General features: G+C 62.5%; 1 protein-coding gene across 2 annotated transcripts, besides 20 other annotated features; it reads left to right on the top strand.

Moving 5' to 3' along the window:
- Window positions 410–549: a silencer, noted in NCBI's record as "silent region_21095". NCBI's record gives its function as "represses an Ori minimal core promoter by ATAC-STARR-seq in GM12878 lymphoblastoid cells {active_cell/tissue: GM12878}" and the evidence as "EXISTENCE:reporter gene assay evidence [ECO:0000049][PMID:35858748]".
- Window positions 496–26,599, top strand: FLNA (filamin A). 2 transcript variants are annotated; one of them, NM_001110556.2, is made up of 48 exons: window positions 496–624; window positions 3,769–4,257; window positions 7,040–7,288; window positions 7,392–7,489; window positions 7,586–7,733; window positions 8,280–8,398; window positions 8,491–8,568; window positions 8,660–8,822; window positions 8,906–9,106; window positions 9,644–9,781; window positions 9,871–9,994; window positions 10,173–10,309; window positions 10,411–10,604; window positions 10,758–10,871; window positions 10,965–11,108; window positions 12,346–12,469; window positions 12,552–12,712; window positions 12,798–12,888; window positions 12,982–13,151; window positions 13,343–13,460; window positions 13,560–13,822; window positions 14,543–15,140; window positions 15,225–15,398; window positions 15,484–15,646; window positions 15,724–15,884; window positions 15,976–16,146; window positions 16,562–16,685; window positions 16,775–16,931; window positions 17,507–17,696; window positions 17,856–17,879; window positions 20,058–20,305; window positions 20,419–20,514; window positions 20,647–20,749; window positions 20,839–20,979; window positions 21,087–21,215; window positions 21,403–21,576; window positions 21,673–21,834; window positions 21,926–22,129; window positions 22,206–22,358; window positions 22,455–22,577; window positions 22,683–22,949; window positions 23,109–23,246; window positions 23,434–23,549; window positions 24,089–24,221; window positions 24,923–25,099; window positions 25,263–25,481; window positions 25,565–25,768; window positions 26,094–26,599. In NM_001110556.2, exons 2-48 carry the CDS (start codon window positions 3,885–3,887, stop codon window positions 26,279–26,281), a joined length of 7,944 nt encoding a protein of 2,647 aa, NP_001104026.1. In that variant the 5' UTR covers window positions 496–624; window positions 3,769–3,884; the 3' UTR covers window positions 26,282–26,599. The 2 variants fall into 2 exon arrangements, with proteins under 2 accessions (NP_001104026.1, NP_001447.2); NM_001456.4 differs by lacking the exon at window positions 17,856–17,879.
- Window positions 560–619: a silencer, noted in NCBI's record as "silent region_21094". NCBI's record gives its function as "represses an Ori minimal core promoter by ATAC-STARR-seq in GM12878 lymphoblastoid cells {active_cell/tissue: GM12878}" and the evidence as "EXISTENCE:reporter gene assay evidence [ECO:0000049][PMID:35858748]".
- Window positions 1,709–1,758: an enhancer, noted in NCBI's record as "active region_30059". NCBI's record gives its function as "activates an Ori minimal core promoter by ATAC-STARR-seq in GM12878 lymphoblastoid cells {active_cell/tissue: GM12878}" and the evidence as "EXISTENCE:reporter gene assay evidence [ECO:0000049][PMID:35858748]".
- Window positions 2,162–2,221: a silencer, noted in NCBI's record as "silent region_21093". NCBI's record gives its function as "represses an Ori minimal core promoter by ATAC-STARR-seq in GM12878 lymphoblastoid cells {active_cell/tissue: GM12878}" and the evidence as "EXISTENCE:reporter gene assay evidence [ECO:0000049][PMID:35858748]".
- Window positions 2,943–3,584: an enhancer, noted in NCBI's record as "H3K27ac-H3K4me1 hESC enhancer chrX:153599914-153600555 (GRCh37/hg19 assembly coordinates)". NCBI's record gives its function as "activates a minimal SCP1, AML or CMV promoter by ChIP-STARR-seq in naive H9 embryonic stem cells {active_cell/tissue: H9 hESC(naive)}" and the evidence as "EXISTENCE:reporter gene assay evidence [ECO:0000049][PMID:30033119]".
- Window positions 3,165–3,384: a silencer, noted in NCBI's record as "silent region_21092". NCBI's record gives its function as "represses an Ori minimal core promoter by ATAC-STARR-seq in GM12878 lymphoblastoid cells {active_cell/tissue: GM12878}" and the evidence as "EXISTENCE:reporter gene assay evidence [ECO:0000049][PMID:35858748]".
- Window positions 3,395–3,524: a silencer, noted in NCBI's record as "silent region_21091". NCBI's record gives its function as "represses an Ori minimal core promoter by ATAC-STARR-seq in GM12878 lymphoblastoid cells {active_cell/tissue: GM12878}" and the evidence as "EXISTENCE:reporter gene assay evidence [ECO:0000049][PMID:35858748]".
- Window positions 3,590–4,115: an enhancer, noted in NCBI's record as "H3K27ac hESC enhancer chrX:153599383-153599908 (GRCh37/hg19 assembly coordinates)". NCBI's record gives its function as "activates a minimal SCP1, AML or CMV promoter by ChIP-STARR-seq in naive H9 embryonic stem cells {active_cell/tissue: H9 hESC(naive)}" and the evidence as "EXISTENCE:reporter gene assay evidence [ECO:0000049][PMID:30033119]".
- Window positions 3,615–3,714: a silencer, noted in NCBI's record as "silent region_21090". NCBI's record gives its function as "represses an Ori minimal core promoter by ATAC-STARR-seq in GM12878 lymphoblastoid cells {active_cell/tissue: GM12878}" and the evidence as "EXISTENCE:reporter gene assay evidence [ECO:0000049][PMID:35858748]".
- Window positions 3,765–3,814: a silencer, noted in NCBI's record as "silent region_21089". NCBI's record gives its function as "represses an Ori minimal core promoter by ATAC-STARR-seq in GM12878 lymphoblastoid cells {active_cell/tissue: GM12878}" and the evidence as "EXISTENCE:reporter gene assay evidence [ECO:0000049][PMID:35858748]".
- Window positions 3,905–3,964: a silencer, noted in NCBI's record as "silent region_21088". NCBI's record gives its function as "represses an Ori minimal core promoter by ATAC-STARR-seq in GM12878 lymphoblastoid cells {active_cell/tissue: GM12878}" and the evidence as "EXISTENCE:reporter gene assay evidence [ECO:0000049][PMID:35858748]".
- Window positions 4,385–4,684: a silencer, noted in NCBI's record as "silent region_21087". NCBI's record gives its function as "represses an Ori minimal core promoter by ATAC-STARR-seq in GM12878 lymphoblastoid cells {active_cell/tissue: GM12878}" and the evidence as "EXISTENCE:reporter gene assay evidence [ECO:0000049][PMID:35858748]".
- Window positions 5,625–5,704: a silencer, noted in NCBI's record as "silent region_21086". NCBI's record gives its function as "represses an Ori minimal core promoter by ATAC-STARR-seq in GM12878 lymphoblastoid cells {active_cell/tissue: GM12878}" and the evidence as "EXISTENCE:reporter gene assay evidence [ECO:0000049][PMID:35858748]".
- Window positions 5,698–6,223: an enhancer, noted in NCBI's record as "H3K27ac hESC enhancer chrX:153597275-153597800 (GRCh37/hg19 assembly coordinates)". NCBI's record gives its function as "activates a minimal SCP1, AML or CMV promoter by ChIP-STARR-seq in primed H9 embryonic stem cells {active_cell/tissue: H9 hESC(primed)}" and the evidence as "EXISTENCE:reporter gene assay evidence [ECO:0000049][PMID:30033119]".
- Window positions 5,698–6,284: a biological region, named in NCBI's record as "H3K27ac hESC enhancer GRCh37_chrX:153597275-153597800".
- Window positions 6,145–6,284: an enhancer, noted in NCBI's record as "active region_30058". NCBI's record gives its function as "activates an Ori minimal core promoter by ATAC-STARR-seq in GM12878 lymphoblastoid cells {active_cell/tissue: GM12878}" and the evidence as "EXISTENCE:reporter gene assay evidence [ECO:0000049][PMID:35858748]".
- Window positions 6,224–6,751: an enhancer, noted in NCBI's record as "H3K27ac-H3K4me1 hESC enhancer chrX:153596747-153597274 (GRCh37/hg19 assembly coordinates)". NCBI's record gives its function as "activates a minimal SCP1, AML or CMV promoter by ChIP-STARR-seq in primed H9 embryonic stem cells {active_cell/tissue: H9 hESC(primed)}" and the evidence as "EXISTENCE:reporter gene assay evidence [ECO:0000049][PMID:30033119]".
- Window positions 25,558–26,664: part of a biological region, named in NCBI's record as "Xq28 proximal FLNA-EMD recombination region", that runs on past the window's edge. NCBI's record gives its function as "recombination_partner: LOC107988033".
- Window positions 25,558–26,664: part of a meiotic recombination region, noted in NCBI's record as "meiotic double-strand break mapped by DNA meiotic recombinase 1 chromatin immunoprecipitation followed by single-stranded DNA enrichment and sequencing in the germ cells of some male individuals with the PRDM9 A/A and PRDM9 A/B genotypes", that runs on past the window's edge. NCBI's record gives the evidence for it as "EXISTENCE:chromatin immunoprecipitation-seq evidence [ECO:0000229][PMID:25395542]".
- Window positions 26,368–26,380: a nucleotide motif, noted in NCBI's record as "nucleotide motif; similarity to the predicted 13-mer PRDM9 A binding motif (LD hotspot motif), CCNCCNTNNCCNC".

Raw genomic sequence — 26,664 nt, 5'->3', positions numbered from 1 at the left:
CTGCCTGACGTAGGCGCCCAGCCAACACCTGCAACGACCTGTTGCCCCCACCCCAGGAAACAATCCCGGCTTGGGACAGACACCAGGGGCTGTGACTGTGGGTGGCTCCTTGGAGAAGGTGGCCTTGGGCCTCGGCCTTTCCACCTGGGGTGCGCTTGGCTCCCCCAGACTCAGACACGCAGGATCCTTGTGATTGGGCCTAGACACGAGCCCTGCAGTCCCTGTGGGCGCTGGAGGCGACTCCCCCACGAAGCCCTCCCTCCCCCAGGGCCTGGCGGCCCTCGCCGGCGGTGAGCTCATCTCGGGGGGCGGCGTCGCCCGGCGGCGGGTCGCTGGAGCTCACGGCGTGCCCCCGCACCCCCGCCCCCCACGCACCCGTCCCGGGCTCCTGGGCAATTTTACCAATTAAGGCTTTCTCGCCGGGCCGGGCCGGGCGCGGGGCGGGCGCGGGGCGGGGGTGCGGCCAACAAGAAGGCGGGCGGCGGCGGCCCATTCGCGTGGAGGCGCGTCGCGCGCAGCGGACGCCGACAGAATCCCCGAGGCGCCTGGCGCGGGCGCGGGCGCGAAGGCGATCCGGGCGCCACCCCGCGGTCATCGGTCACCGGTCGCTCTCAGGAACAGCAGGTGAGGTCTCCGCGGCCCGGCTTCGCGCCGTAGGGTCGCCGCGCTCCTCGTCGGCCGGGGGCGGGGTTGGAGAAGGCGGGCAGAGAGGCCGGAAAACGCAGGCGCCAGCTCGCGCCCAGGTCCGGGCCAGGTTCAGCTGGGATGCGTGAGCCGATGGAGGCTCCCCTGGCATCTGGGAGTGAGTGTCCAGAGAATAGCTTCCCTAGTTGACCCACGAGCCATGTCTGTGCCCACGAATGTGGGAGCCTGAGGCCATGGGGGGTCCCCGAGAGAGAGAGGGTGTCTGGGCACTTGCCCATGAACGGACCACTGCATGCCTGAGAGAGAAGGGCCCTGACACCAGGAACTTGTGTGGACTCAGGGCGAGTGGCCACCTGGAAGGACACTTCTCAGCCAGTGTGCCCACTGGGAGGGGGACAGCGTGTCCCTTGCTGGCTCGAGTCCACAGGGCACCAGCTGCTTTGGGCACAGGGGAGCTGGTTCTGGGGCTGCTCTACTCCATGGGGGCCATGGTGAGGATGAGACCAGGCCAGGTTCCTTGGTTGGGCCCTGGGCCCTATGCCAGGTTGGCTCTGAGTTGGATGCGCACTGCCAGCCAGGATATAACCAACAATGTCCCCAGATTCCCGTGCCACCTGGGGCCAGGCAAAATAGGTTAAAATCCACTGGCAGACCCATTTGTAAGTGCTCCGAGTGCACCGTCAAGGTGGGAGCTTGGGAATGGGCGACCTCACCTGCCGCACCTGGACTTGCCAGCACAGGTCTCTTCTCACCTTGCCAGTCTGCGGCTTCCTTCCCTCCTGCGCCCCCTGGCTACGCAGGCCTGGAAACAGCTCCTTAGGGATCCCAGCTGAACAGCTCCTGGGCTTGGGCTATACCTCCCAGTGGGAGGGTCTGGCCTGGGGTCTGAGGGCCAGGGGTGGTGTGGTGGGCGGGGTGTGCCTAACATCCAAGAATCTACTCCAAATAAGGGAAAATATGAAAGAGCTGGATTTTGGCTTCCCAGGACTGCCCGATCTGGTGGCTTTGGGATCGGGCGACATCTGGCGGTTGATACTATGTTCTAGGGACAAGAACCCTCTACACGCCCATTCCTTGTTTCCTCTAAATAGGGAAAAGCTAGGGCTGGAAGACACGGCACCCACCTCCTGACACTCTTTCTGCTGGAATTGACCACTGGTCACTCTGACTCAGTTTCCCTGAGCTCTGAAGATTAAGGAATGAACCCAGACAACCCAGCTCAATGGCCCTTAGTGGAGAGAGAGTCAATTATTGATGGAATTCCGTGCCTGGGAACTTGCTTTCCAGTGGGGCAGGGGGACCAGAAGGACAACTTCAAGCCCGTCTTGAATGGGGCCCGTGCAGGGAGGGGTCTGTATGGGTTCCCCCTTCCCAGCCCTCCCTCCCACCTCCACCCCAGCTCCCAGACGCCCAGGCGCACTTGGTGCAGGTGTGTCTCAAAGTGGTCAGGAGAGGGGACAATATACAGGGGTTGGCCTCAGTACTGGAAAATGCCATTTGCACCCCCTAACACCACTACTAGTGGGAAAAACCAGTGGGGCCACAGGCTGCCCCGAAGTGAATGTGCTGGGCGGATCACAGCCCCACCACGTGTCATGTAGACACCCAGGGCTACAGGAGAGTCAACCATATTTGGGCATGACGTGCTGGCCAACCCAGGGCCTCCATCTCTCACTGGTCTTTAGCAGATAAATTAATTATTACTAGAATTGAACAGGAGGGACAGATACCTGCCTTCCTAGAAAAAAAAAAAAAACACTCAGAGGAGGAAACATTCTGGAGAGGGGAGGTACCGAGGACTGAGAGGGAGGGGAGTGCACAATGGGGAGGAAGCCATAGGCAGGCTGGCTTCTGACTGAAGATAGTAGCAGTGAGCGTCCCCAGCCGTCCCCTGGTCCCAGTCTACATCTCGGCACAGCAGCCACTGCACCATCTCCAGAGTTATCTACCAGAAAATTTTGAGTGAAGAGCCCCCACAGCTCTGGGGACACAACCCCCCAGGCCCCTGATCCCTGTCCTCAGGCCTCCTCTGCACCTGCCACCACACCTGAAGCCCACCCAGACCCAGGTGCTCAGAGCCTGACAAGTCTTATGGGAACCTCTGAGCAGGCCCCTCTGGGTCTGGAATGCCACTCCCGTGTTTGCCCCCTGCCCTGGCCACGCTGGGCTGAGGGGACTTTCCGACAGGAGAGGACCCCCCGCTTCAGCTCCCCCCAGTGCCCCGGGTGAACTGGCATGAAGGGTTAGGCGGGCACACGTCTCTGCATGCATCGCACGGCGCCCTCTGCCCGCGCCCACTGGCGTGCCCGTGGGCATGCCCGGACCCCTTCGAAGGCTGCTTGCTCCTGGAGTGCCGGCGGCCTCCTGGCCCAGTGCCCCATATCCTCCCGGGTGGAGGGAAGCAGAGAGGGAGGCGGTGGGAAGCAGCGGGCACAGGTGCGCGGGCGAGGGCCCTACGGACTGGGAAGGCGGGCCCGTGGCAGGGGGTCTGCGGGGACCGCGTAGGCGCAGGCCTTGCCCTGCAGCCGCTTCCCAGGTGATGAGCACACAAAGCGCCCTCGGCAGTGCCTGGTCCGGGGCTGCCGCTCTCCAGGGGTTCGCTCTTAGGGTTGGCCCCTTCCCGCCGCTGCCGGGCCGGCGGACGGGGATGCCGCCGGGGAACCCTAGGCCCTGGGGGCCCGGGGAAGGGGGATGACGGCGGGGGGTAGGGATGTGCAGGGACGGGGCAGAGCCCAAGTGACTTAGGGAAGAGAGCCACCCCACCCCCCGCAGGGGCCCTGGGGAAGGAAAGTCCCTTGTAAGGCGCGCCGGCTGCAGGCCAAGCAGTCCCGCGCCAGACACTGCTCAGCCTTTCCTCGCTCTAGGGCGCGTTTCCTGCAGCGCCAACGCGAGGCTGCGGGGCTGGGAGCATCCTTGCCCACCCCACTGCCCAGCGACCCACCCTGGAGCCCGGGTTTCGCGTCTGATCAGCCGAACCCGGGGGCCTAGTGGGGGCATTCCAACGGGCGGGGCGGGGTGGGGCAGGCGCGCCCTCGAAGCCCCACCCCACGGCCCCTCCCCGCAGGAGGCCCGCCCTCTGGCCCCGCCCTCCTCCCGCATTTAAAGGGCTCGCTCTCTCCGCAGCGCAACCTCTGCTCCCTGCCTCGCCTCCCGCGCGCCTAGGTGCCTGCGACTTTAATTAAAGGGCCGTCCCCTCGCCGAGGCTGCAGCACCGCCCCCCCGGCTTCTCGCGCCTCAAAATGAGTAGCTCCCACTCTCGGGCGGGCCAGAGCGCAGCAGGCGCGGCTCCGGGCGGCGGCGTCGACACGCGGGACGCCGAGATGCCGGCCACCGAGAAGGACCTGGCGGAGGACGCGCCGTGGAAGAAGATCCAGCAGAACACTTTCACGCGCTGGTGCAACGAGCACCTGAAGTGCGTGAGCAAGCGCATCGCCAACCTGCAGACGGACCTGAGCGACGGGCTGCGGCTTATCGCGCTGTTGGAGGTGCTCAGCCAGAAGAAGATGCACCGCAAGCACAACCAGCGGCCCACTTTCCGCCAAATGCAGCTTGAGAACGTGTCGGTGGCGCTCGAGTTCCTGGACCGCGAGAGCATCAAACTGGTGTCCATCGGTGAGGGACGCCCCGAAGCGCCGGGCGGGCGGGGGCGGGGACTCCGTGCGTCCTTCCATCTCCCCGGGCGGACCCCTCCAAACCACCCCCTTCCGGGCCGCAGCGCAACTCCCGAGGCCTCCGGCTGCTCTGCTCCACGCGGGCCTGCAGAACAAAGGCGCGCGGGCTGGCTGGCTGGCCGGCCGGGCGTGCGAACCGCTACGCGCCCCCGCCCGCTGCGCCCCGGCTGGCCGGCGCCCAGGCTGAACTCACATCCTCCGCAGGCCGCGCCTCCGCGGCTGTGCTCGCGGTGGGAGTGGGCCTGGGGGGTCGGGCACTGGGCAGGCTCCTGGCCCTGCGCCCCGTCCCCGAGGAGGAGGAGGCCCGGGCTCTCCCCCCACAGCTGTTTAGAGAGGGCCCTCTGGCCTTCAGAGGCCCGTTGGTTCTGAAGTGTGGGTTGGAGCTCGTGCGTCCCATTGTCTGGGGCTCTGGGCTCTTTGTGTCCCTGGAGGATGGGTCGCCCATCGGAGATGGCTCCAACCACCAGTTTAGATCTACCCCCCCACACACACACAGGCAACCTGGGGGCCAGAAAGAAGCATAGTTAGCAAAACTGCACCCGGGGTGAGTTGGGCGTGGTTGACTGAGAGACCTGGCTTGTAGACTACTTGGACGCCAACTTTTCTCTTCATCTTGGGCCAAACTCTTGCTTCCATGTAGGCCTTGCTTTTCTGCGTGTAGCACGCAGGAGTTGGTTGGTAGATGCTCCAGCGTGCATTGTGCCAGCCCAGTGTCTGTGTCACTGGACTGGAGAGGCTGGCATTGACCAGGCCTGCTGCAGCAGCCCAATTCGTTCTCAAGATAGGGGCTGCATGAGAGGGCAGGCCCCAGAATGGGTGACTCGGGGGTGATGTGGAACAGGGAGAGGAGAGGGATGATGAGTCTTCTCTTCTTCAGAATTGAGAGGCCTTCCAGTTACCCTGCAGCCCTGGAATGGCCCTTGCTGAACCCAAGAAAGTGAGGGACCAAGACTTGGGTTCCCCCAGCCACTCAGAGGGCAGATCCCAAGAACCAAAGTTCTTTCTTTGGAATGCCAGTTGAGGCGAGGGGCAGGCCCACCCCCACAAGTCCCAGCCTCAGTCTAGCCAAGCTGAGTCATCTCAGTCCTGGATGGTAGGGGGGGCGACCGGATGTGGGGAGGCGGGCCACACCCCAGCTCTTTAGGGGGGGTCTCCTCCCTCCTCCCAGCTCCCCTCCTCCTTGTGAGCTGGCTGGAGCAGGCCTAGTTCCCAGAGCTTTGCCATATAAGGCAAAAAAATGTTGGAAAGCAGCAGTGATTAGGGGAGGGAGGGGTTGGCTGGCCCAGGGGCTGGGGAAAGGGGGGTGGGATGGGGCGGGGCCATCCAGCCAGACAGTCTCCCAGCCCTGGGCCCTGGTCCTTCCCTCTCTCTTTTGGGAGGGGGATGGGGACGGAGTAGGCTGGCCTAACATGGACCTGGTGGGCCTGGTTGCTCCCCGTGTGGGGGTCGTTGAGGGGTCTGAGGCTGGACTGGGGTGGGGGCCTGATGGGAAGCCCTGGCTGGCCTTGTTCCCTGGCCCTGCACCCTTGGTCCTCTCCGAGTCCCCCTCCCTGCTGCCATTTGGGGAGAGTGAAAGGCAGCCTCGTGGGGCCAGGACCAACCTGGGAACTGGGGAGGCCACTCTGAGCGGCTCACCTGGCCCTCCAGGTGCTGCCTGCTGGGCTGGGAAGCAGCTGCCATGGACAGCCCAGCCCCTCCTCATAGGCCCGCCCCCTAGTTGACTCACCAGAGAAGTATTTTGTCTGATTATGGGGGAGGCTGACAGGGCTTCTAAAGATGAGCCATCCTGCCTTGAGCCTGAGACCCAGAAGTAGCCTTGGGTGGGGCCCAGAGCCCAGCAGGGTTGCCATGGTGATGGGGGGTGTCAGGGACCCGCCCTAACCACTTCCCCTGTGGCGAGCCTGCCGAGGCCCAGAGGCCCGTTAGGTGGCAAGTGGGTCAGGCAGTGGGTGGCAAGGGGGTTCCCAGTGTCTCCTGCTGCCACCCCGGCATCTCCCGATGGGCCCCAGTGAGTCAGGGCCATGTGGCCCAACTGCTGGTTCCTTTGGGCTCTGGGCCCCTCCCCTGGCTAGGCCTGTGGCCTCCCAACTCCAAGCTTGAGTCTTCGAGGTGGTAGAGGAAGTGGGGGTGGTGGCGGGGGTCACAATCCCTCACCCAAAGGGCGTTTGCCCAACTCCCCCACTTCCCCTGCCTCACCCCACCCACCCTGGAACAACAGTTGTATTTCCCAACCACCCAGGGCCACCCACCTTCCTCTTCCTCAGCCCCAGCCCCACTCCAGGTCATGGGCCCTGGATTCTGGGCCAGCTGGAGTCAGCCTCCTCCTCCTGGTTCCCCATAGGCCCCTGAGGTGTGTGGCGGACCCCTGCTCTGGCAGCTGTGGACACTGTCCAGCTGTTCTCCAGAGCTGCCCATCTGCAGGCTGGGTCTGCCCTCTGCCCTTCCTCTGGGCCCAGGGCTTCTGGCAGTAATCATACCCTGCTGGCATCGTGTGTGTGTGTCTGTGTGTATCTGCCCTCACCCCAAAGTCTCCTTCACCTCTGAACACCCCCTGGGACCCTGGGCAGAGAGGGCCTCATCCACATCCTACCACTGGCCAAGAGGGGGTGTCTACCTCCTCCTTGGCCCCTGCTACCCCGTGCTGCCAGACCCTGACCCCAAAGCCTGGGATCGGCCCCTCCCGCACAGCCGTGTGCCCAGCGTGGCCACTCTTCTACTCACAGACAGCAAGGCCATCGTGGACGGGAACCTGAAGCTGATCCTGGGCCTCATCTGGACCCTGATCCTGCACTACTCCATCTCCATGCCCATGTGGGACGAGGAGGAGGATGAGGAGGCCAAGAAGCAGACCCCCAAGCAGAGGCTCCTGGGCTGGATCCAGAACAAGCTGCCGCAGCTGCCCATCACCAACTTCAGCCGGGACTGGCAGAGCGGCCGGGCCCTGGGCGCCCTGGTGGACAGCTGTGCCCCGGGTGAGGGGGCGCAGAGGCAGGAGAGACTGGGCTGGGGTCACCCATGGGTGGCCCTTGAGGGGGTTCTGCGGCCCCCAGACTCACAGCCTCCCTTGCGCCACAGGCCTGTGTCCTGACTGGGACTCTTGGGACGCCAGCAAGCCCGTTACCAATGCGCGAGAGGCCATGCAGCAGGCGGATGACTGGCTGGGCATCCCCCAGGTACACCCGCCCGGCCTGGCTACAGCTGTAGGGGACCGGATCGGCAGTTGGGAGAGACTCGGAGGCCCGATGGCTCCTGTTTTCTGCCTGTGACAGGTGATCACCCCCGAGGAGATTGTGGACCCCAACGTGGACGAGCACTCTGTCATGACCTACCTGTCCCAGTTCCCCAAGGCCAAGCTGAAGCCAGGGGCTCCCTTGCGGCCCAAACTGAACCCGAAGAAAGCCCGTGCCTACGGGCCAGGTGAGGGAGCCCCACCAGGGGTGCACCCGTGTGCCAACGTCTTCCCCATAAGACAGTGTCCCATCTAAACGTGGCGGTCCCCAGGGGTCTTGGGTTACATGGCGGCTAGGTGATCAAGCCACCCAAGAGTCAGACAAGAGTGGGTTTTTGGGACTAGTGAAAACGACAAGAGAATGCTAATAGGTTCCTCCAGTCACAGAAGCCTGCTGCGTGGGGTCCTCGGGGAGGTAGCATCCAGCGGTCTTTATTATAAATGGAGATGAACCAGGTCTCAGTAACAGGGACCTAAAACCCAGTCAAGGCTCACACAGGAACAAGGGCCCAGTGCGGTGAGAATGAATGTTCCAGAAAACAGGCTGGGCCTGTCCCAGCAGCGAGAGCACAGCTGGGTCCCGAGGCCAGGCTCTGTGCCACAGCTCACACTGAATGAACTTGCCCAGTTTGGAATGTGCCTGACTTAGGGGCCAGCAGGGAGGGCTGAAGGGTGGAGGGGTGAGGCTGTGGCCTTAACAGCTGGCCCGTGGTTGGCTCGCCTTCCCCTGCCAGGCATCGAGCCCACAGGCAACATGGTGAAGAAGCGGGCAGAGTTCACTGTGGAGACCAGAAGTGCTGGCCAGGGAGAGGTGCTGGTGTACGTGGAGGACCCGGCCGGACACCAGGAGGAGGTAGGGCCAGCTGCTGGCAGCAGAGGCCCCGCAGCGCTCCCTTTCAGTGGGGCTGCTCTTAGCAAAGGCTCACAGGCTCCTTCCCACTGCAGGCAAAAGTGACCGCCAATAACGACAAGAACCGCACCTTCTCCGTCTGGTACGTCCCCGAGGTGACGGGGACTCATAAGGTGAGCCCTTGGCCAGGGGGGAGGCTTGTGACCTCAGGCAGTGGCTGGAGGCCCCCAGCCCTACCCTCACGGCCCACCCTTCTGGGGACAGGTTACTGTGCTCTTTGCTGGCCAGCACATCGCCAAGAGCCCCTTCGAGGTGTACGTGGATAAGTCACAGGGTGACGCCAGCAAAGTGACAGCCCAAGGTCCCGGCCTGGAGCCCAGTGGCAACATCGCCAACAAGACCACCTACTTTGAGATCTTTACGGCAGGTGAGGGGAGGCTGCCAAGGCCCAGCTGGTCTGTGGGGAGAGCCGCACTGGGGCCTGGGAGCTGAGCAGGTGCCTCGTGGCAGGAGCTGGCACGGGCGAGGTCGAGGTTGTGATCCAGGACCCCATGGGACAGAAGGGCACGGTAGAGCCTCAGCTGGAGGCCCGGGGCGACAGCACATACCGCTGCAGCTACCAGCCCACCATGGAGGGCGTCCACACCGTGCACGTCACGTTTGCCGGCGTGCCCATCCCTCGCAGCCCCTACACTGTCACTGTTGGCCAAGGTAGGCCCGGCCCTGACTGCCCTCTGCTGTGGCACTGCAGTCTGGGCCTCCCACAGGAGGGGGACCCCCTGGGCCAGTCCCGCTGCAGCCCGCCCCGGGGCCCCTACTCTTTGAGCTTCTACTGTCTGGGCACATGCTGTTTTTCCTCCCCTGCTGGGGCCCTTCCTCCTCTCCTCTCCTCGCCCCTCTCCATCTCTCTCCTCACGCTTTCACCTTCGGAAGAGCTCGCTCCAGCTGTCTAGAAACCTGCTGCTCTCTGCTCTGCCCACAGGGTCAACGGTACTTGGATCTGTCTTCTTCTTGGAAGGGGGAGGGTGGGGGGCTCTGGGCTGGTGTGGAGCAGGTGGGAGGAGGCCTGCCATGTCCTGGCCCAGGCCACAGTTCCTGGGGTCACAGTCCCTTCCAGTTCTGTCTTGCATGTCCCCCTCCAGCCAAGCTCTGAGGGACCCACCAATCCTGACAGCCCGGCCCTGTGGGAGGCAAGGGAGGGGTCGCCCAGCCGAGCTGCTGGTGCTCAGCTGGCCCCTCTGCCTGCAGCCTGTAACCCGAGTGCCTGCCGGGCGGTTGGCCGGGGCCTCCAGCCCAAGGGTGTGCGGGTGAAGGAGACAGCTGACTTCAAGGTGTACACAAAGGGCGCTGGCAGTGGGGAGCTGAAGGTCACCGTGAAGGGCCCCAGTAAGTTGGCCTGGAGCCAGGCCAGGATGGGTGGCGGCAGCCCCCGGGTTCACTGCTGGGCAGGCCTGAGGCCCTCCTTGTCTTGGCAGAGGGAGAGGAGCGCGTGAAGCAGAAGGACCTGGGGGATGGCGTGTATGGCTTCGAGTATTACCCCATGGTCCCTGGAACCTATATCGTCACCATCACGTGGGGTGGTCAGAACATCGGGCGCAGGTGAGGCCCCCAGGCATCCCTCTCCCAGCTCTGCACACTCTGCCTCTTCTCTTCCTTCTGCCTCCCCACCTGATGATGAGGGGCCACATGGGCTCTTCCTGCCTGGCCGCCACAGTGGGGCCCACGCTGGCTCATGTGGTGATCCTCGGTGTTCCCTGTGTGGCTCTCGCATTTGCAGTCCCTTCGAAGTGAAGGTGGGCACCGAGTGTGGCAATCAGAAGGTACGGGCCTGGGGCCCTGGGCTGGAGGGCGGCGTCGTTGGCAAGTCAGCAGACTTTGTGGTGGAGGCTATCGGGGACGACGTGGGCACGCTGGGTAAGTTGGAGGCTGCAGCATGGGCACCTGGGGACAGACGATGGCAAGGACGGCCCACCCTGAGGCTCCAGGGCACTGAGGGGACTGGTGGCTGTTGTCAGGCTTCTCGGTGGAAGGGCCATCGCAGGCTAAGATCGAATGTGACGACAAGGGCGACGGCTCCTGTGATGTGCGCTACTGGCCGCAGGAGGCTGGCGAGTATGCCGTTCACGTGCTGTGCAACAGCGAAGACATCCGCCTCAGCCCCTTCATGGCTGACATCCGTGACGCGCCCCAGGACTTCCACCCAGACAGGGTAAAGAGCAGGCTGTGATGGCCTAAGTCTCGCCCTGCTGCTCCTGCTTGGGGTCTGGTGGGGATGGCACTCTGTGTCCCTGGCCACCCTGCCTGGGTTGTAGCTCTGGCAGCCTGGACCTGGCCCCCTGACAGCTGGGTGGTCTCCCGCTAGGTGAAGGCACGTGGGCCTGGATTGGAGAAGACAGGTGTGGCCGTCAACAAGCCAGCAGAGTTCACAGTGGATGCCAAGCACGGTGGCAAGGCCCCACTTCGGGTCCAAGTCCAGGTAGAGCACCCACGGGTGTTGGGGGCAGGGCAGGTGTGGGCACCCAGGCCTGGGCACTGACCAGCAGGCCACCTGCTCCTATCTGCCTGACAGGACAATGAAGGCTGCCCTGTGGAGGCGTTGGTCAAGGACAACGGCAATGGCACTTACAGCTGCTCCTACGTGCCCAGGAAGCCGGTGAAGCACACAGCCATGGTGTCCTGGGGAGGCGTCAGCATCCCCAACAGCCCCTTCAGGGTGAGCCAACCTCCACCGGCCTTTAGTCCATCTCGATAGCATTCACGTAGCACACGATTCGTCCATTTCAAGTGGTTGTGGCACACCATCCTGACTCCCCTGTCCCACAGCTCCTGGTGACCACTAACCTGCTTTCTGCTGTGGCTTTGCCTATCCTGGACATGTTCTATAGATGGAACTGTGTGCCATGTGGCCTTTTGTGTCTGGCTTCTTTCGCTCACCACGAAGTTTTCCGTGTTTTCGTTCATGTTTGGCATGTCTTGGCACTTTGTTCCTTTATAATTATTTTGTTTATTTATTTATTTATTTGAGATGGAGTCTCACACTGTCGCCCAGGCTGGAGTGCAATGGCGCGATCTCGGCTCACTGCAGGCTCTTTCTCCCAGGTTCACACCATTGTCTTGCCTCAGCCTCCCGGGTAGCTGGGACTACAGGCGCCCGCCACCCCCCCGGCTAATTTTTTGTATTTTTAGTAGAGACAAGGTTTCACTGTGTTAGCCAGGATGGTGTCGATCTCCTGACCTTGTGATCTGCCCACCTCGGCCTCCCAAAGTGCTGGGATGACAGGCATGAGCCACCGCGCCCATCCTGGTTTTTTTTTTTTGAGCCGGAGTTTTGCTCTTATTGCCAGGCTGGAGTGCAATGACGTGATCTCAGCTCACTGCAACCTCTGCCTGCCAGATTCAAGCAATTCTCTCCTGCCTCAGCCTCCTGAGTAGCTGGGATTGCAGGCATACGCCACCATTCCCAGCTAATTTTGTATTTTTAGTAGAGACGGGGTTTCTCCATGTTGGTCAGACTGGTCTCAACCGCCTGACCCCAGGTGGTCCGCCCACCTTGGCCTTCCAAAGTGCTGGGATTACAGGCATGAGCCACCACGTCCGGCCGCTTCATTTATTTTTATGGCCGCATAATACTCCATTGTGTGGCCAGACCACATTCCATTTTTCCGTTCACTTGCTAACAGATATTGAGGATGAGCTTGCCTTTGGTGATCATGAACAGTGCTGTTAACAGTGAGTCCAGGTGTTTGCGTGGACATTTGCTTTCATTTCTCTTGGGTAGTTGCCTCGGAGTGAACCGGAGCATCACACAGTCCCTCTGTGGTCAACTGAGGAACTGCCAGACTCTTCCCAAGGCAGCTGGACCATTTTGTGTGCCTGCCAGTGTAGCTGAGGGAGCTTCTGAGTCTCCTCCAGGCTGCTCATGCCCTTGCCCTTGCCCCTGTGCCCTGCAGGTGAATGTGGGAGCTGGCAGCCACCCCAACAAGGTCAAAGTATACGGCCCCGGAGTAGCCAAGACAGGGCTCAAGGCCCACGAGCCCACCTACTTCACTGTGGACTGCGCCGAGGCTGGCCAGGGTAAGGCCTGGCTGTGGGTGGGAGGGCAGGTGGCTGGGGTGTCCCTGCGAGGTCTCAGCCTCCGCTCCTCTCCCCGCCGCAGGGGACGTCAGCATCGGCATCAAGTGTGCCCCTGGAGTGGTAGGCCCCGCCGAAGCTGACATCGACTTCGACATCATCCGCAATGACAATGACACCTTCACGGTCAAGTACACGCCCCGGGGGGCTGGCAGCTACACCATTATGGTCCTCTTTGCTGACCAGGTGGGTGCTGCGCTCCTGGCCGCTAAGATGTCATTGCGGATGACGTCTGCCCTCCTCTAAGGCCTTCTCCTCCCACTGCCTGCAGGCCACGCCCACCAGCCCCATCCGAGTCAAGGTGGAGCCCTCTCATGACGCCAGTAAGGTGAAGGCCGAGGGCCCTGGCCTCAGTCGCACTGGTGAGGACAGGTACCCCATGGCAGGTTGCGGGGCATCAAGGGTAGGAGGGCTTGGGGCAGGGTGCCCCTACATGGTCCCTGTGTGTTCCTCAGGTGTCGAGCTTGGCAAGCCCACCCACTTCACAGTAAATGCCAAAGCTGCTGGCAAAGGCAAGCTGGACGTCCAGTTCTCAGGACTCACCAAGGGGGATGCAGTGCGAGATGTGGACATCATCGACCACCATGACAACACCTACACAGTCAAGTACACGCCTGTCCAGCAGGTAGCCACACCCTCCACTACAGTCACCGAGTCCCCAGCCTCCTCATGCAGCAGCCTAGGGGACAGCTCCGAGGGACTTTCTGCCCACTCTCATTCCTTACCTGGGAGAGGACAGGCATGGAGGTCCAGGAGGGGGTTGGGGAGCAATTCTGGTGTCTCTAAATACCCCCTTCCCTTCTGCACCCTTCCCAGGGTCCAGTAGGCGTCAATGTCACTTATGGAGGGGATCCCATCCCTAAGAGCCCTTTCTCAGTGGCAGTATCTCCAAGCCTGGACCTCAGCAAGATCAAGGTGTCTGGCCTGGGAGAGAGTAAGTAGTTGGGGCCCTTGTCGCAAAGGCCTTTGTCACATCCAGGGATTGGCTGAGCTGGGTGTCATGTCTCTCTCCTTCCTTTCATCGTTTCCACAGAGGTGGACGTTGGCAAAGACCAGGAGTTCACAGTCAAATCAAAGGGTGCTGGTGGTCAAGGCAAAGTGGCATCCAAGATTGTGGGCCCCTCGGGTGCAGCGGTGCCCTGCAAGGTGGAGCCAGGCCTGGGGGCTGACAACAGTGTGGTGCGCTTCCTGCCCCGTGAGGAAGGGCCCTATGAGGTGGAGGTGACCTATGACGGCGTGCCCGTGCCTGGCAGCCCCTTTCCTCTGGAAGCTGTGGCCCCCACCAAGCCTAGCAAGGTAATTGGGGTATGGGAGGCCCTAAGGGTAGAACCCACTGTGCTCTCTGAGGGCCCCAAAGGTACCCCATCTTCTCCAGACCTGCCCTAAATCCTTTTTTTTTTTTTTTTTTCCTGAGACAGACTGTCAACCTTGACCCTGTTTAAGTGAGAGTAAAGGGGAGGAGGGAAATAGAAACCCACAAAAAGTCATCAGGGTTGAAGAATTTCTTTTTTTTTTTTTTCTTTCTTTTTTTTTTTTTTTTTTTTTTTTTTTTTTTTTGAGAAAGAGTCTCACTCTGTCGCCCAGGCTGGAGTGCAGTGGCGCGATATTGGCTCACGGCACCCTCCGCCTCCTGGCTTCAAGCAATACTCCTGCCTCAGCCTCCCAAGTAGCTGGGATTACAGGTGCCCGCCACCATGCCCAGCTAATTTTGGTAATTTTAGTAGAGACGAGATTTCACCATGTTGGCCAGGCTGTTCTCAAACTCCTGACCTCAGGTGATCCACCCACCTTGGCCTCCCAAAGGGCTGAGATTACAGGCGTGAGTGACCGCGCCCTGCCCTCCTTTTTGTCCTTATGACTGATGGATGGCCCATCTGGCAGGCAGCCTGGGCCCGCCCGTGTCCCTGTTTGGTGAGGGCAGGAAGCCAGGGCAAGGGGAGGCAGGTGGAAAGTCAAGCAGGAGGTCTGGGATCGGGGCATAGTGTGGCCTTGGCTCCTGACCCCTTCTTCCCTCAGGTGAAGGCGTTTGGGCCGGGGCTGCAGGGAGGCAGTGCGGGCTCCCCCGCCCGCTTCACCATCGACACCAAGGGCGCCGGCACAGGTGGCCTGGGCCTGACGGTGGAGGGCCCCTGTGAGGCGCAGCTCGAGTGCTTGGACAATGGGGATGGCACATGTTCCGTGTCCTACGTGCCCACCGAGCCCGGGGACTACAACATCAACATCCTCTTCGCTGACACCCACATCCCTGGCTCCCCATTCAAGGCCCACGTGGTTCCCTGCTTTGACGCATCCAAAGTCAAGTGCTCAGGCCCCGGGCTGGAGCGGGCCACCGCTGGGGAGGTGGGCCAATTCCAAGTGGACTGCTCGAGCGCGGGCAGCGCGGAGCTGACCATTGAGATCTGCTCGGAGGCGGGGCTTCCGGCCGAGGTGTACATCCAGGACCACGGTGATGGCACGCACACCATTACCTACATTCCCCTCTGCCCCGGGGCCTACACCGTCACCATCAAGTACGGCGGCCAGCCCGTGCCCAACTTCCCCAGCAAGCTGCAGGTGGAACCTGCGGTGGACACTTCCGGTGTCCAGTGCTATGGGCCTGGTATTGAGGGCCAGGGTGAGTTGCCCTGCCGTGGGGTATGTGACGGGGGACAGGGACCAGAACCCCCGAGCCCCAAGCCTCCTCTCTGTGCCTTTGCAGGTGTCTTCCGTGAGGCCACCACTGAGTTCAGTGTGGACGCCCGGGCTCTGACACAGACCGGAGGGCCGCACGTCAAGGCCCGTGTGGCCAACCCCTCAGGCAACCTGACGGAGACCTACGTTCAGGACCGTGGCGATGGCATGTACAAAGTGGAGTACACGCCTTACGAGGAGGGTGCGTGCTGGGGACTCCCACAGGCTGGCAGACGGGGTGGGTGGGGTGGCCCGGGCTCCTCCTGACCTGGCCTGCACTCCTCCAGGACTGCACTCCGTGGACGTGACCTATGACGGCAGTCCCGTGCCCAGCAGCCCCTTCCAGGTGCCCGTGACCGAGGGCTGCGACCCCTCCCGGGTGCGTGTCCACGGGCCAGGCATCCAAAGTGGCACCACCAACAAGCCCAACAAGTTCACTGTGGAGACCAGGTAAGGGAGCCCCCAGGAGCCCGTGTGGCTGGTGGGCCTGGGAACCCCAGGAATGACCGGCTGTCTGTTTGGACCAGGGGAGCTGGCACGGGCGGCCTGGGCCTGGCTGTAGAGGGCCCCTCCGAGGCCAAGATGTCCTGCATGGATAACAAGGACGGCAGCTGCTCGGTCGAGTACATCCCTTATGAGGCTGGCACCTACAGCCTCAACGTCACCTATGGTGGCCATCAAGTGCCAGGTGAGGAGGTGGCGGCCAGGGCAGGGCTGGGACTGTCTGCTCGTCCCCACCCTGTCTCATACAGCCGCCATCCCTTTGCCCCAACCCTCAGGCAGTCCTTTCAAGGTCCCTGTGCATGATGTGACAGATGCGTCCAAGGTCAAGTGCTCTGGGCCCGGCCTGAGCCCAGGCATGGTTCGTGCCAACCTCCCTCAGTCCTTCCAGGTGGACACAAGCAAGGCTGGTGTGGCCCCATTGCAGGTCAAAGTGCAAGGGCCCAAAGGTGAGTGTTTGCATGCCTGGAGCCAGGGGTCAGGAGGGCAGTGTCCTGTTTGAGGGCCGGGAAAGGAAACTGGAGGCCCAAAGTGAGGACCAGAGTGCAGAGGTGGTGCAAGTGTGTAGGTGTTTTTGGAAGAGCCTCAGGTGACAGTGCAGCCAGGTGGGGGACTTGGAGGAGGTAGAGCAGATGGGACTGGTCACTGAGCAGATGTGGCAGGAAGGCAGGCAGGCAAGGGTCCCAGCTGGCACCCAGATGGGTGTCTTTCGTGCCAGAGGGGGTCAAGGCCATTCCCAGGGTCGGGTGGATGAGGATAAAGCGAGGTCTAGGCCTGGGGCTGGGTCCTGGCCGTCCAGTGTGGTGGGGTAGGAATGGAGGCCCAGGAGACTAGCTGATGCTCTGTCCCTGGGGCTGGGGCCAGGCCTGGTGGAGCCAGTGGACGTGGTAGACAACGCTGATGGCACCCAGACCGTCAATTATGTGCCCAGCCGAGAAGGGCCCTACAGCATCTCAGTACTGTATGGAGATGAAGAGGTACCCCGGAGGTAAGAGGCAGGGCCTGCTGCCTGTGGGGAGTGGCCCAGGCTGGATGCTGAGAACCTGTCTGACTGCTCACAACACCAATCCCTCACAGCCCCTTCAAGGTCAAGGTGCTGCCTACTCATGATGCCAGCAAGGTGAAGGCCAGTGGCCCCGGGCTCAACACCACTGGCGTGCCTGCCAGCCTGCCCGTGGAGTTCACCATCGATGCAAAGGACGCCGGGGAGGGCCTGCTGGCTGTCCAGATCACGGTGAGCTCCGGGCACAGGCAGGGGAGGCAGGGGGGCCTGGGCGGCTGGAGTGTGGGCTGCGGGTGGCTGGTGTCTGATCTCCCTGCGGAGCTGCACCAAGGAGGGCAGGGAAGGACAGGGCCCCTGTCTTTGGTTTGCTAAGGTTGTGACTACCTTAGGATGGTGGTGACAGGCACAGGCTTCCCCAGACGTGCACTTGCTGCTAACTTTGAGCACGTCACCAAAGCCTTCTGTGCCTCAGTTTCCCCACCTGTAATATTCTCATGGGGCAGGTATAGGATAGAAGCTTGAGATCACCCCGGTGAGCTCCTCCTAGTGCTGGCCAGGCCCTGGGGCTGAGGATGGGTGCCAAGCTGGCTGGCCGCGCCTGTTGTCATGTGGGAAGTGTGGGATGTTTTAGTCTCCATTCTGGACTCTGCCAGGTGCAGGCAGCCCTTTTGGGCCATAGCAGTTAAGATGCCTGAGGCCCAGAGACTGTCCCTGTAGCAGCAGCGCTGGGCACTCTGGGAGCGCCTGAGGCAGGCCCGGGGCTACTCGGGCTTGGGCCAACTGCCTCCCCTGCCTCTGCCACACAGGATCCCGAAGGCAAGCCGAAGAAGACACACATCCAAGACAACCATGACGGCACGTATACAGTGGCCTACGTGCCAGACGTGACAGGTCGCTACACCATCCTCATCAAGTACGGTGGTGACGAGATCCCCTTCTCCCCGTACCGCGTGCGTGCCGTGCCCACCGGGGACGCCAGCAAGTGCACTGTCACAGGTGAGCCCGCCCGCTGTTGGCCGCTGCGGCGCTCGGCACGGGGCTTGGGTTGTGCCTGTGTGCAAGGGCTCGCTGCTTGGGGCGGCGTGTGGGAGTGGGGGCCGCCCCCTTGAGTGACTCACCTGACCTTTCTCCTTGCTCTCTGCCCTCTCACCTCAGTGTCAATCGGAGGTCACGGGCTAGGTAAGCTGCTTGCTGGGGCCACTCCCAATGCCCCTCCTGCCCAGAGGGGCAGCTTCCTTTCCTCTTGGGGCCGATTCCCAGGACAGTTCCAGCTGCAGCTCTAGGCAGGGACAGAGTTGGGTGGGGTGCAGAAGATGAGGCCGTGGGCTGGAGGGCGAGGGCCCAGGGAGGCTTCCGGAGCTGAGCATGACCGCTCCAGCTCTTCCCCTCTCTGGGCCTTTATTTCCCCATCTGAGAACTCGGGTTGCAGCTGAGAGCTTTGGGGTGAGGTGCATCCTGAGAGGCACCCCACTGGGGACTTTGGGGTCTCGGGATCTTGGCACCCAGGGAGGCACAAGGGCTCCTGCGTGGGCTGAGGGAACAAGGGGTCTCCCCAACTCAATGGGAGCCCCAGCCCTGGCCAGATCCACAGACCCCCATCCCCACCTTCCAGGGGCCTCTGCGTCCCGGGCCGGGGGAGGTGCATGAGCGGGTGGGGCTGGCTGGTAGTGCAGTAGCGCCAGTGTCGACTGCTTGGGCGGCCAGCATGGCGGGGCCCGGCCCAGCCTCAGAGCCCCAAAGTGCATTCTGTGGCCCGTCTCCCTCCTTCCCCCTTCCCCTATCCCCCAGCAGTGACGTTATTCAGACATTCCCCAACAGGCATGGAGGGTCACCTGCCCCAGCCAGGGACACCCAGGGATGCTGATGAGAGGCTACAGGCCTGGCACTTGGGCGAGGTGGCTAAGGAAAGGGTGAGAGGGTGGCTAGAGTTTTGCGGCAGGAGCGAGATGGCTTTATAGAGCAGGCCGTAGGATCCGATGTGTGTGTGACAGGCGTGTGTGCGCAGGGCGGGGGAGGCTGGGGAGTACTGATTGCAGGGCCTTGGGGGCTTTGAGGGTGGGAGCAAGACTCAGTAACCTCAGTTTCCCTGGCTACTGTTTGCAGAATGGAGACAGGGAGCCCGGGGTGGGGAAGGGGGCGCTGAAGTTGCTCTCTGGCAAGCTTGACGGCCACGGGGCTTCAGTGAGAGCCAAATTAGGAGGCATACTTTGAGGATGGAGTGGCTGAGACCTGCGGTTGGCTGGGAGCCGGGCAGGGAAAGTGGGGGCAGTCGGGTACCTGTGAGGTTGGGGCCCAAGCCACTAACTAGATGGCATGGGGTGCACATGAGTGAAGCCTCCCAGGGCAGCGTGGGCAGCCGGCAGCCAGGTCTGGAGCCTGGGAGAGCTGCCTGGCCGCGGCAGGCCAGCATGGAGCCTAGTGCAGCAGGAGCCCTCGGCCGATAGTGGGACTTGGTGGCAGGGCCCCTCGAGCTTGGCCTTCAAGTAGGTTTCGTGCTCCTGGCTGCTTCCCTGGCAGGAGGCCAGGCTGCAGGGGGCACTCTCACTGCCAGGCCTCACAGCCCACAGCCCCCCAAGCCTCCACGGCGGAGACCCAGATCATAACGTCACTGTCTCTCCCCTTTCCTCGGGCACTCTGGGGCCCTGGAGCCTGCTCAGCTGCTCTGCCCTCGCAACCCAGCAGTGGTGGCTGTAGCTTGGGCCTCCTGTTCCCTGTCTCCCTGGGTGCTATCCCCGCTCTGCCAAGCCTGCTGCGCTGCGCTACTCGGGTGCTAACCCCGCTGCCTCCCGCTTCCCCGCTCCCACTCCTGTCTGCACCGGGCTGCTTTTCACCGCGAGCCTTCTCAGTTGTCAGGAAACTCCGGTTTCACCATCAGGCCTGGGGGGTGGGGAGGCAAGTGTCACATCCCCCCACGCTGCAGCAGGACTCCGCCTCACCGCGTCCACACACAGCAATGGGGGCCGGGGCCAGGCCAGAAGGGCGCAGGCAGCCGTGTGCCCAGCCAGATGCTGGCGTTCAGCAGTGTGGGCCATGGTGCTGGACGAGGCTGAGTAGGCAAGGGAGTGGCTGTCAACACTTAGGCTGGAGTGGGCCCTTCCTTTTCCTCCCAGGCACCTGGGTGCTACTGTCGGGCCTCTCCCACATGGGCACTTGAGGTGGTCAGGAGAAACCTTCCTGCCTTCTGAGAAACCACTCGCCATCCCAGCTTGGAGGGGCAGGGCGGGGCAGGAGGCCTGGCGGCCTGGCTGTGCTTGGTGGTGGCAATGAGAGGCCTGTGTGGGCGGCAGGCGGACGGGAACAACCTGAACCCGAGCTCACACGCTGGCCCCCCTTTGGGGACCCACCCTGCCCCACCAGGTGCTGGCATCGGCCCCACCATTCAGATTGGGGAGGAGACGGTGATCACTGTGGACACTAAGGCGGCAGGCAAAGGCAAAGTGACGTGCACCGTGTGCACGCCTGATGGCTCAGAGGTGGATGTGGACGTGGTGGAGAATGAGGACGGCACTTTCGACATCTTCTACACGGCCCCCCAGCCGGGCAAATACGTCATCTGTGTGCGCTTTGGTGGCGAGCACGTGCCCAACAGCCCCTTCCAAGTGACGGTGAGGAGGGGTGGGGGGTAGGTCAGCAGGGGTGTCTGGCAGGTCCCGGCCTGTTCCCCTGGGGCCCCTCTGTGACAACAGACTCTCCAGCAGCTCTCTGCTTTGCCCTGCAGGCTCTGGCTGGGGACCAGCCCTCGGTGCAGCCCCCTCTACGGTCTCAGCAGCTGGCCCCACAGTACACCTACGCCCAGGGCGGCCAGCAGACTTGGGTACGGCCTGGCCAGCTAGGGACACTGGGGCTAGCCAGCTGGGTGTTCTGTGAGCCCCTAGTTTACCATGTGTGAGGAGGGACCCCAGATCCTCCCACTGTCCCTCACCCATGCCCTGTGTCTCCACTGCAGGCCCCGGAGAGGCCCCTGGTGGGTGTCAATGGGCTGGATGTGACCAGCCTGAGGCCCTTTGACCTTGTCATCCCCTTCACCATCAAGAAGGGCGAGATCACAGGTGAGTGGGGACTTGGGAAGGAGCTCGGGAGCCAAGGAGGCCAGACTGTGCCAATGAGCTGCCCTGACCTCAGCCCCACTGCCCCACAGGGGAGGTTCGGATGCCCTCAGGCAAGGTGGCGCAGCCCACCATCACTGACAACAAAGACGGCACCGTGACCGTGCGGTATGCACCCAGCGAGGCTGGCCTGCACGAGATGGACATCCGCTATGACAACATGCACATCCCAGGTGGGCCTGCCCTGCCTCTGCCCACTCCACCGCCACCACCTCACAGAGAGATGGGGCTGGGGGACACACGAGGCTGCCATTCCACAAGGCCCTTCTTCCTGCCTCAGGAAGCCCCTTGCAGTTCTATGTGGATTACGTCAACTGTGGCCATGTCACTGCCTATGGGCCTGGCCTCACCCATGGAGTAGTGAACAAGCCTGCCACCTTCACCGTCAACACCAAGGATGCAGGAGAGGGTGAGCAATAGCTCTGGTCTTGACCTGCTCTGTGCCCGGGATGCCCTCACCGGGGTAAGGGCTGGACTCAGGAGATACTCCTGAATGGGGCTCCCTGCCCTGCTGCCCTGGCCATCGGAGCTCCTCAGTGCAGGCCAACTGGAGTGTCCCCAGCATAGTTCCCATGCTCACCCACGGCTCTCTCCAGGGGGCCTGTCTCTGGCCATTGAGGGCCCGTCCAAAGCAGAAATCAGCTGCACTGACAACCAGGATGGGACATGCAGCGTGTCCTACCTGCCTGTGCTGCCGGGGGACTACAGCATTCTAGTCAAGTACAATGAACAGCACGTCCCAGGCAGCCCCTTCACTGCTCGGGTCACAGGTGGGTGGCACTGGGAGCAGTGACAGAAACGGGTGGCAGGGTGGGCATGGTCTCCCATGGCTGGACGCACACTGATGGCTGGCCTGTCCCCACCAGGTGACGACTCCATGCGTATGTCCCACCTAAAGGTCGGCTCTGCTGCCGACATCCCCATCAACATCTCAGAGACGGATCTCAGCCTGCTGACGGCCACTGTGGTCCCGCCCTCGGGCCGGGAGGAGCCCTGTTTGCTGAAGCGGCTGCGTAATGGCCACGTGGGTAAGCGGCTGAAGGGTCCAGGGGGTTCAGAAAGGAGGCAGCCTGTGGGGAGCCATGCCCTCCCTGACTGACAGCCATGCCCTGTGTCCAGGGATTTCATTCGTGCCCAAGGAGACGGGGGAGCACCTGGTGCATGTGAAGAAAAATGGCCAGCACGTGGCCAGCAGCCCCATCCCGGTGGTGATCAGCCAGTCGGAAATTGGGGATGCCAGTCGTGTTCGGGTCTCTGGTCAGGGCCTTCACGAAGGCCACACCTTTGAGCCTGCAGAGTTTATCATTGATACCCGCGATGCAGGTAGGCAGTGGCTGCCCACCAGCTGGGGCGGGAGCACTGTGCATAGCACCGAGGCTCAGGGGTATCCATCCCCTAGGCTATGGTGGGCTCAGCCTGTCCATTGAGGGCCCCAGCAAGGTGGACATCAACACAGAGGACCTGGAGGACGGGACGTGCAGGGTCACCTACTGCCCCACAGAGCCAGGCAACTACATCATCAACATCAAGTTTGCCGACCAGCACGTGCCTGGTGAGTGCAGCAGTGCCTCGGCAGCCCCCCTCACTACACCAGGGCCCACAGGCAGTATGTGACTGGAGGGGCGTGGGCCGTGCTTTCTTCCTGCAGGCAGCCCCTTCTCTGTGAAGGTGACAGGCGAGGGCCGGGTGAAAGAGAGCATCACCCGCAGGCGTCGGGCTCCTTCAGTGGCCAACGTTGGTAGTCATTGTGACCTCAGCCTGAAAATCCCTGGTAGGGGCTGTGGGAAGCCTGGGGAGGGGTCCTGGGGCTCAAGCAGCCCCAAGAGGAGGGGTGGAGCCCAGGGCTGCTGCTCACTAGCCCATCCCCACCCTGCAGAAATTAGCATCCAGGATATGACAGCCCAGGTGACCAGCCCATCGGGCAAGACCCATGAGGCCGAGATCGTGGAAGGGGAGAACCACACCTACTGCATCCGCTTTGTTCCCGCTGAGATGGGCACACACACAGTCAGCGTGAAGTACAAGGGCCAGCACGTGCCTGGGAGCCCCTTCCAGTTCACCGTGGGGCCCCTAGGGGAAGGGGGAGCCCACAAGGTCCGAGCTGGGGGCCCTGGCCTGGAGAGAGCTGAAGCTGGAGTGCCAGGTAGGCCTGCTCACACCCCGAGTGCTCGCTCTCCTGCGTTGGCCAGGGTGGGGTTGGGGGTGGAGGAAAGAGCCGGCAGGCATGTCTACCTTGGCTATGCCTGGAGGGGGCCGAGGCTGGTGAAGCAGCCTTCAGTGAGGACAAACTGTTCTCCCACAGCCGAATTCAGTATCTGGACCCGGGAAGCTGGTGCTGGAGGCCTGGCCATTGCTGTCGAGGGCCCCAGCAAGGCTGAGATCTCTTTTGAGGACCGCAAGGACGGCTCCTGTGGTGTGGCTTATGTGGTCCAGGAGCCAGGTACTGGGAACCCGGCTGGGGTTGGAGGAGGTGGGGCCTGAGTGTGGGTATTGGACCCAGGGCTGGCACAGATAGCCCTGCCTGGCACTCACTCTTCACTTTGAGGTCACAGGGCCACCCAGGCTGTTCGTGGGAGGTGGGAGGCCCAAAGGCTGATGAGCCGGTCTTACACTCTTTCCCTGCCCAGGTGACTACGAAGTCTCAGTCAAGTTCAACGAGGAACACATTCCCGACAGCCCCTTCGTGGTGCCTGTGGCTTCTCCGTCTGGCGACGCCCGCCGCCTCACTGTTTCTAGCCTTCAGGTGAGGCACCGAGAGAAACCGCCCACCTGGGGCTCCTGGGCCCGGACAGACCAGAGCCACCGCAGAGACCAGGCCTTGGCCCTGTGTTCAGTGACCCCCCTGGCCCAGCTCTGGGTTCCAGGCCTCTGCTCTGGCCGGGTGCAGCCCACGCTTGGGGTCGGCAGGAAATATCCTGCCCACCACGTGGAGTTTTTCTCGTGTCTCAGGTCTAAAGGCTTTGAACAGAAGCCTGTGCCCCTTGAGCACCAGGGCTGCGGTTTAAAGAGGGACAGCCTGCCAAGGCTGGGTGCTGCCCACAGGGTGGGGCAGCCCTCCCTTCCTGCCACCTGGGTGTGTGCGACGGCAGAGTGTGGGGGCAGGGGCGGGGATGTGCGCCTGTGGCTTGCTGCCCCTTGCAAATCAGTGGCTCTCCCTCTTTAAACCAAGTTGGACGCCAGATGGGTAAGTGCGACCCGCGGGCCTCTTGCTCCTGGGGCCTTTCCGTCCTCCCTTGCCCTGGCTCAAGCACCCCCATCTAACCATGTCTGCTGTGCTTCCAGGAGTCAGGGCTAAAGGTCAACCAGCCAGCCTCTTTTGCAGTCAGCCTGAACGGGGCCAAGGGGGCGATCGATGCCAAGGTGCACAGCCCCTCAGGAGCCCTGGAGGAGTGCTATGTCACAGAAATTGACCAAGGTGAGGCCCTGTCCCTGCCCGGCCGCCCTGCCCTGCTGGCTGGAAGCAGGCTGAGAGTACAAAAGGAAGGTACCGCTTCTGTAAGCAGCCAAGACGGGGCCCCAACTCCTGGGCCCCCTAAGCCAGGCAACCCTTTCCCAATTGGTGACCCAAGCCGCTGGGGATGTGGCTCGCCACCCACAGCTATTAGGAAGGCCTTCTACCCTGCAGTACCATGCCATCTCCACAGGGAAAGACTCAAAGTCCAGCCTCAGTGCTGCCCGGCCCTTCAGCCACGGCCATGGTACTTGTGCACAGGCCTGGGGCAGCCTTGTGGGTAGGAGGAGCCCAGTGGGCTTCATTTCACGGCCTAGTCCTGCCCTTCCCAGCTGCATGACCTGAAGCAAGTTCCTGCCCGTCTCTGAGCCTGTTAACATGCAGGGGATATGGTGTTCACGGTAACCTTTCTTAGGAGGCAGCAAGGCCTGGGTTTGGCTTGTAAAAGATTTCCGTCCCAATGCACCCTGACGGTGGGCAGCTTGAGTGTCTAAACCTTCGGCCCTCAGGAGGTCTGCTGCGGGGTGCAGGTGCCCAGCGTGGCTGGGCTCACACTGATGGACCGGCAAAATGGGGAGGGCCAGGGTTGAGGCTGTTCCTCACAGACACCATCTGCTGGTTTGAGGAGGGGCCCCAGGCCCACAGCATGACTCCCTGCTCCTCAGATAAGTATGCTGTGCGCTTCATCCCTCGGGAGAATGGCGTTTACCTGATTGACGTCAAGTTCAACGGCACCCACATCCCTGGAAGCCCCTTCAAGATCCGAGTTGGGGAGCCTGGGCATGGAGGGGACCCAGGCTTGGTGTCTGCTTACGGAGCAGGTCTGGAAGGCGGTGTCACAGGTAAGTCTGTCGGTGCGGCTGCACGTGTGCACACAGCTGCTAGGCCCTTGCCTCCAAGCTCTTGGTGACAACAGGAGGCACCTGGAGGTGACAAGCCTGTGCTGGGTGGCCGAGGACAGGGAGGCAGGCCAGTCTGGCTCTGCCTGACCTCCTGTGCTCCCAGGGAACCCAGCTGAGTTCGTCGTGAACACGAGCAATGCGGGAGCTGGTGCCCTGTCGGTGACCATTGACGGCCCCTCCAAGGTGAAGATGGATTGCCAGGAGTGCCCTGAGGGCTACCGCGTCACCTATACCCCCATGGCACCTGGCAGCTACCTCATCTCCATCAAGTACGGCGGCCCCTACCACATTGGGGGCAGCCCCTTCAAGGCCAAAGTCACAGGTGAGCCTGGGGCCAAGCTATTGGCATCTGCCCAACGCCCGGCACCACAGCCACCTCTTAGCCCCACCCACTCTGCCTTGCAGGCCCCCGTCTCGTCAGCAACCACAGCCTCCACGAGACATCATCAGTGTTTGTAGACTCTCTGACCAAGGCCACCTGTGCCCCCCAGCATGGGGCCCCGGGTCCTGGGCCTGCTGACGCCAGCAAGGTGGTGGCCAAGGGCCTGGGGCTGAGCAAGGCCTACGTAGGCCAGAAGAGCAGCTTCACAGTAGACTGCAGCAAAGCAGGTGGGCAACCTGGGCCCCCGGCCCACCTTCCCACCAAAATGAGGCCAGAAATCACAGGATGGCCAGTGTCTGGGAGAGCAGGGACCGCCTTTGGGGCGTGGCTTTCACTTCTAGAGCCACCTCCCTGCCACCTCCTGGACCCCTCAAACAAAGACCAGGGAGGAGCTGGAATCTGCTAAGCTGGCCTGGGTTGGGGAGGTGCTGGCAGCTCTTTAGGAAGAGAGAACTGTCACCCCAGAACTGGCTTAGGGACAGGAGAGGAGAGCAGGACACCAGCGGGAGGAAGGGGGCTGGGACCTGGGACTGAGGACCCCTCTTGCCTCAGGCAACAACATGCTGCTGGTGGGGGTTCATGGCCCAAGGACCCCCTGCGAGGAGATCCTGGTGAAGCACGTGGGCAGCCGGCTCTACAGCGTGTCCTACCTGCTCAAGGACAAGGGGGAGTACACACTGGTGGTCAAATGGGGGGACGAGCACATCCCAGGCAGCCCCTACCGCGTTGTGGTGCCCTGAGTCTGGGGCCCGTGCCAGCCGGCAGCCCCCAAGCCTGCCCCGCTACCCAAGCAGCCCCGCCCTCTTCCCCTCAACCCCGGCCCAGGCCGCCCTGGCCGCCCGCCTGTCACTGCAGCCGCCCCTGCCCTGTGCCGTGCTGCGCTCACCTGCCTCCCCAGCCAGCCGCTGACCTCTCGGCTTTCACTTGGGCAGAGGGAGCCATTTGGTGGCGCTGCTTGTCTTCTTTGGTTCTGGGAGGGGTGAGGGATGGGGGTCCTGTACACAACCACCCACTAGTTCTCTTCTCCAGCCAAGAGGAATAAAGTTTTGCTTCCATTCTCCTTTGCGTGGCTGTAGCTTTGTTGGGGTTGGGGGACCAGTCAAGGCCAACCTGACAGGGGTGC

Source organism: Homo sapiens, chromosome X (assembly GCF_000001405.40).
Source record: "Homo sapiens chromosome X, GRCh38.p14 Primary Assembly".
Lineage (NCBI taxonomy): Eukaryota > Metazoa > Chordata > Mammalia > Primates > Hominidae > Homo > Homo sapiens.
Note: the sequence above shows the minus strand (reverse complement) of the source record. Positions and strands in the feature narration are given on the sequence as shown.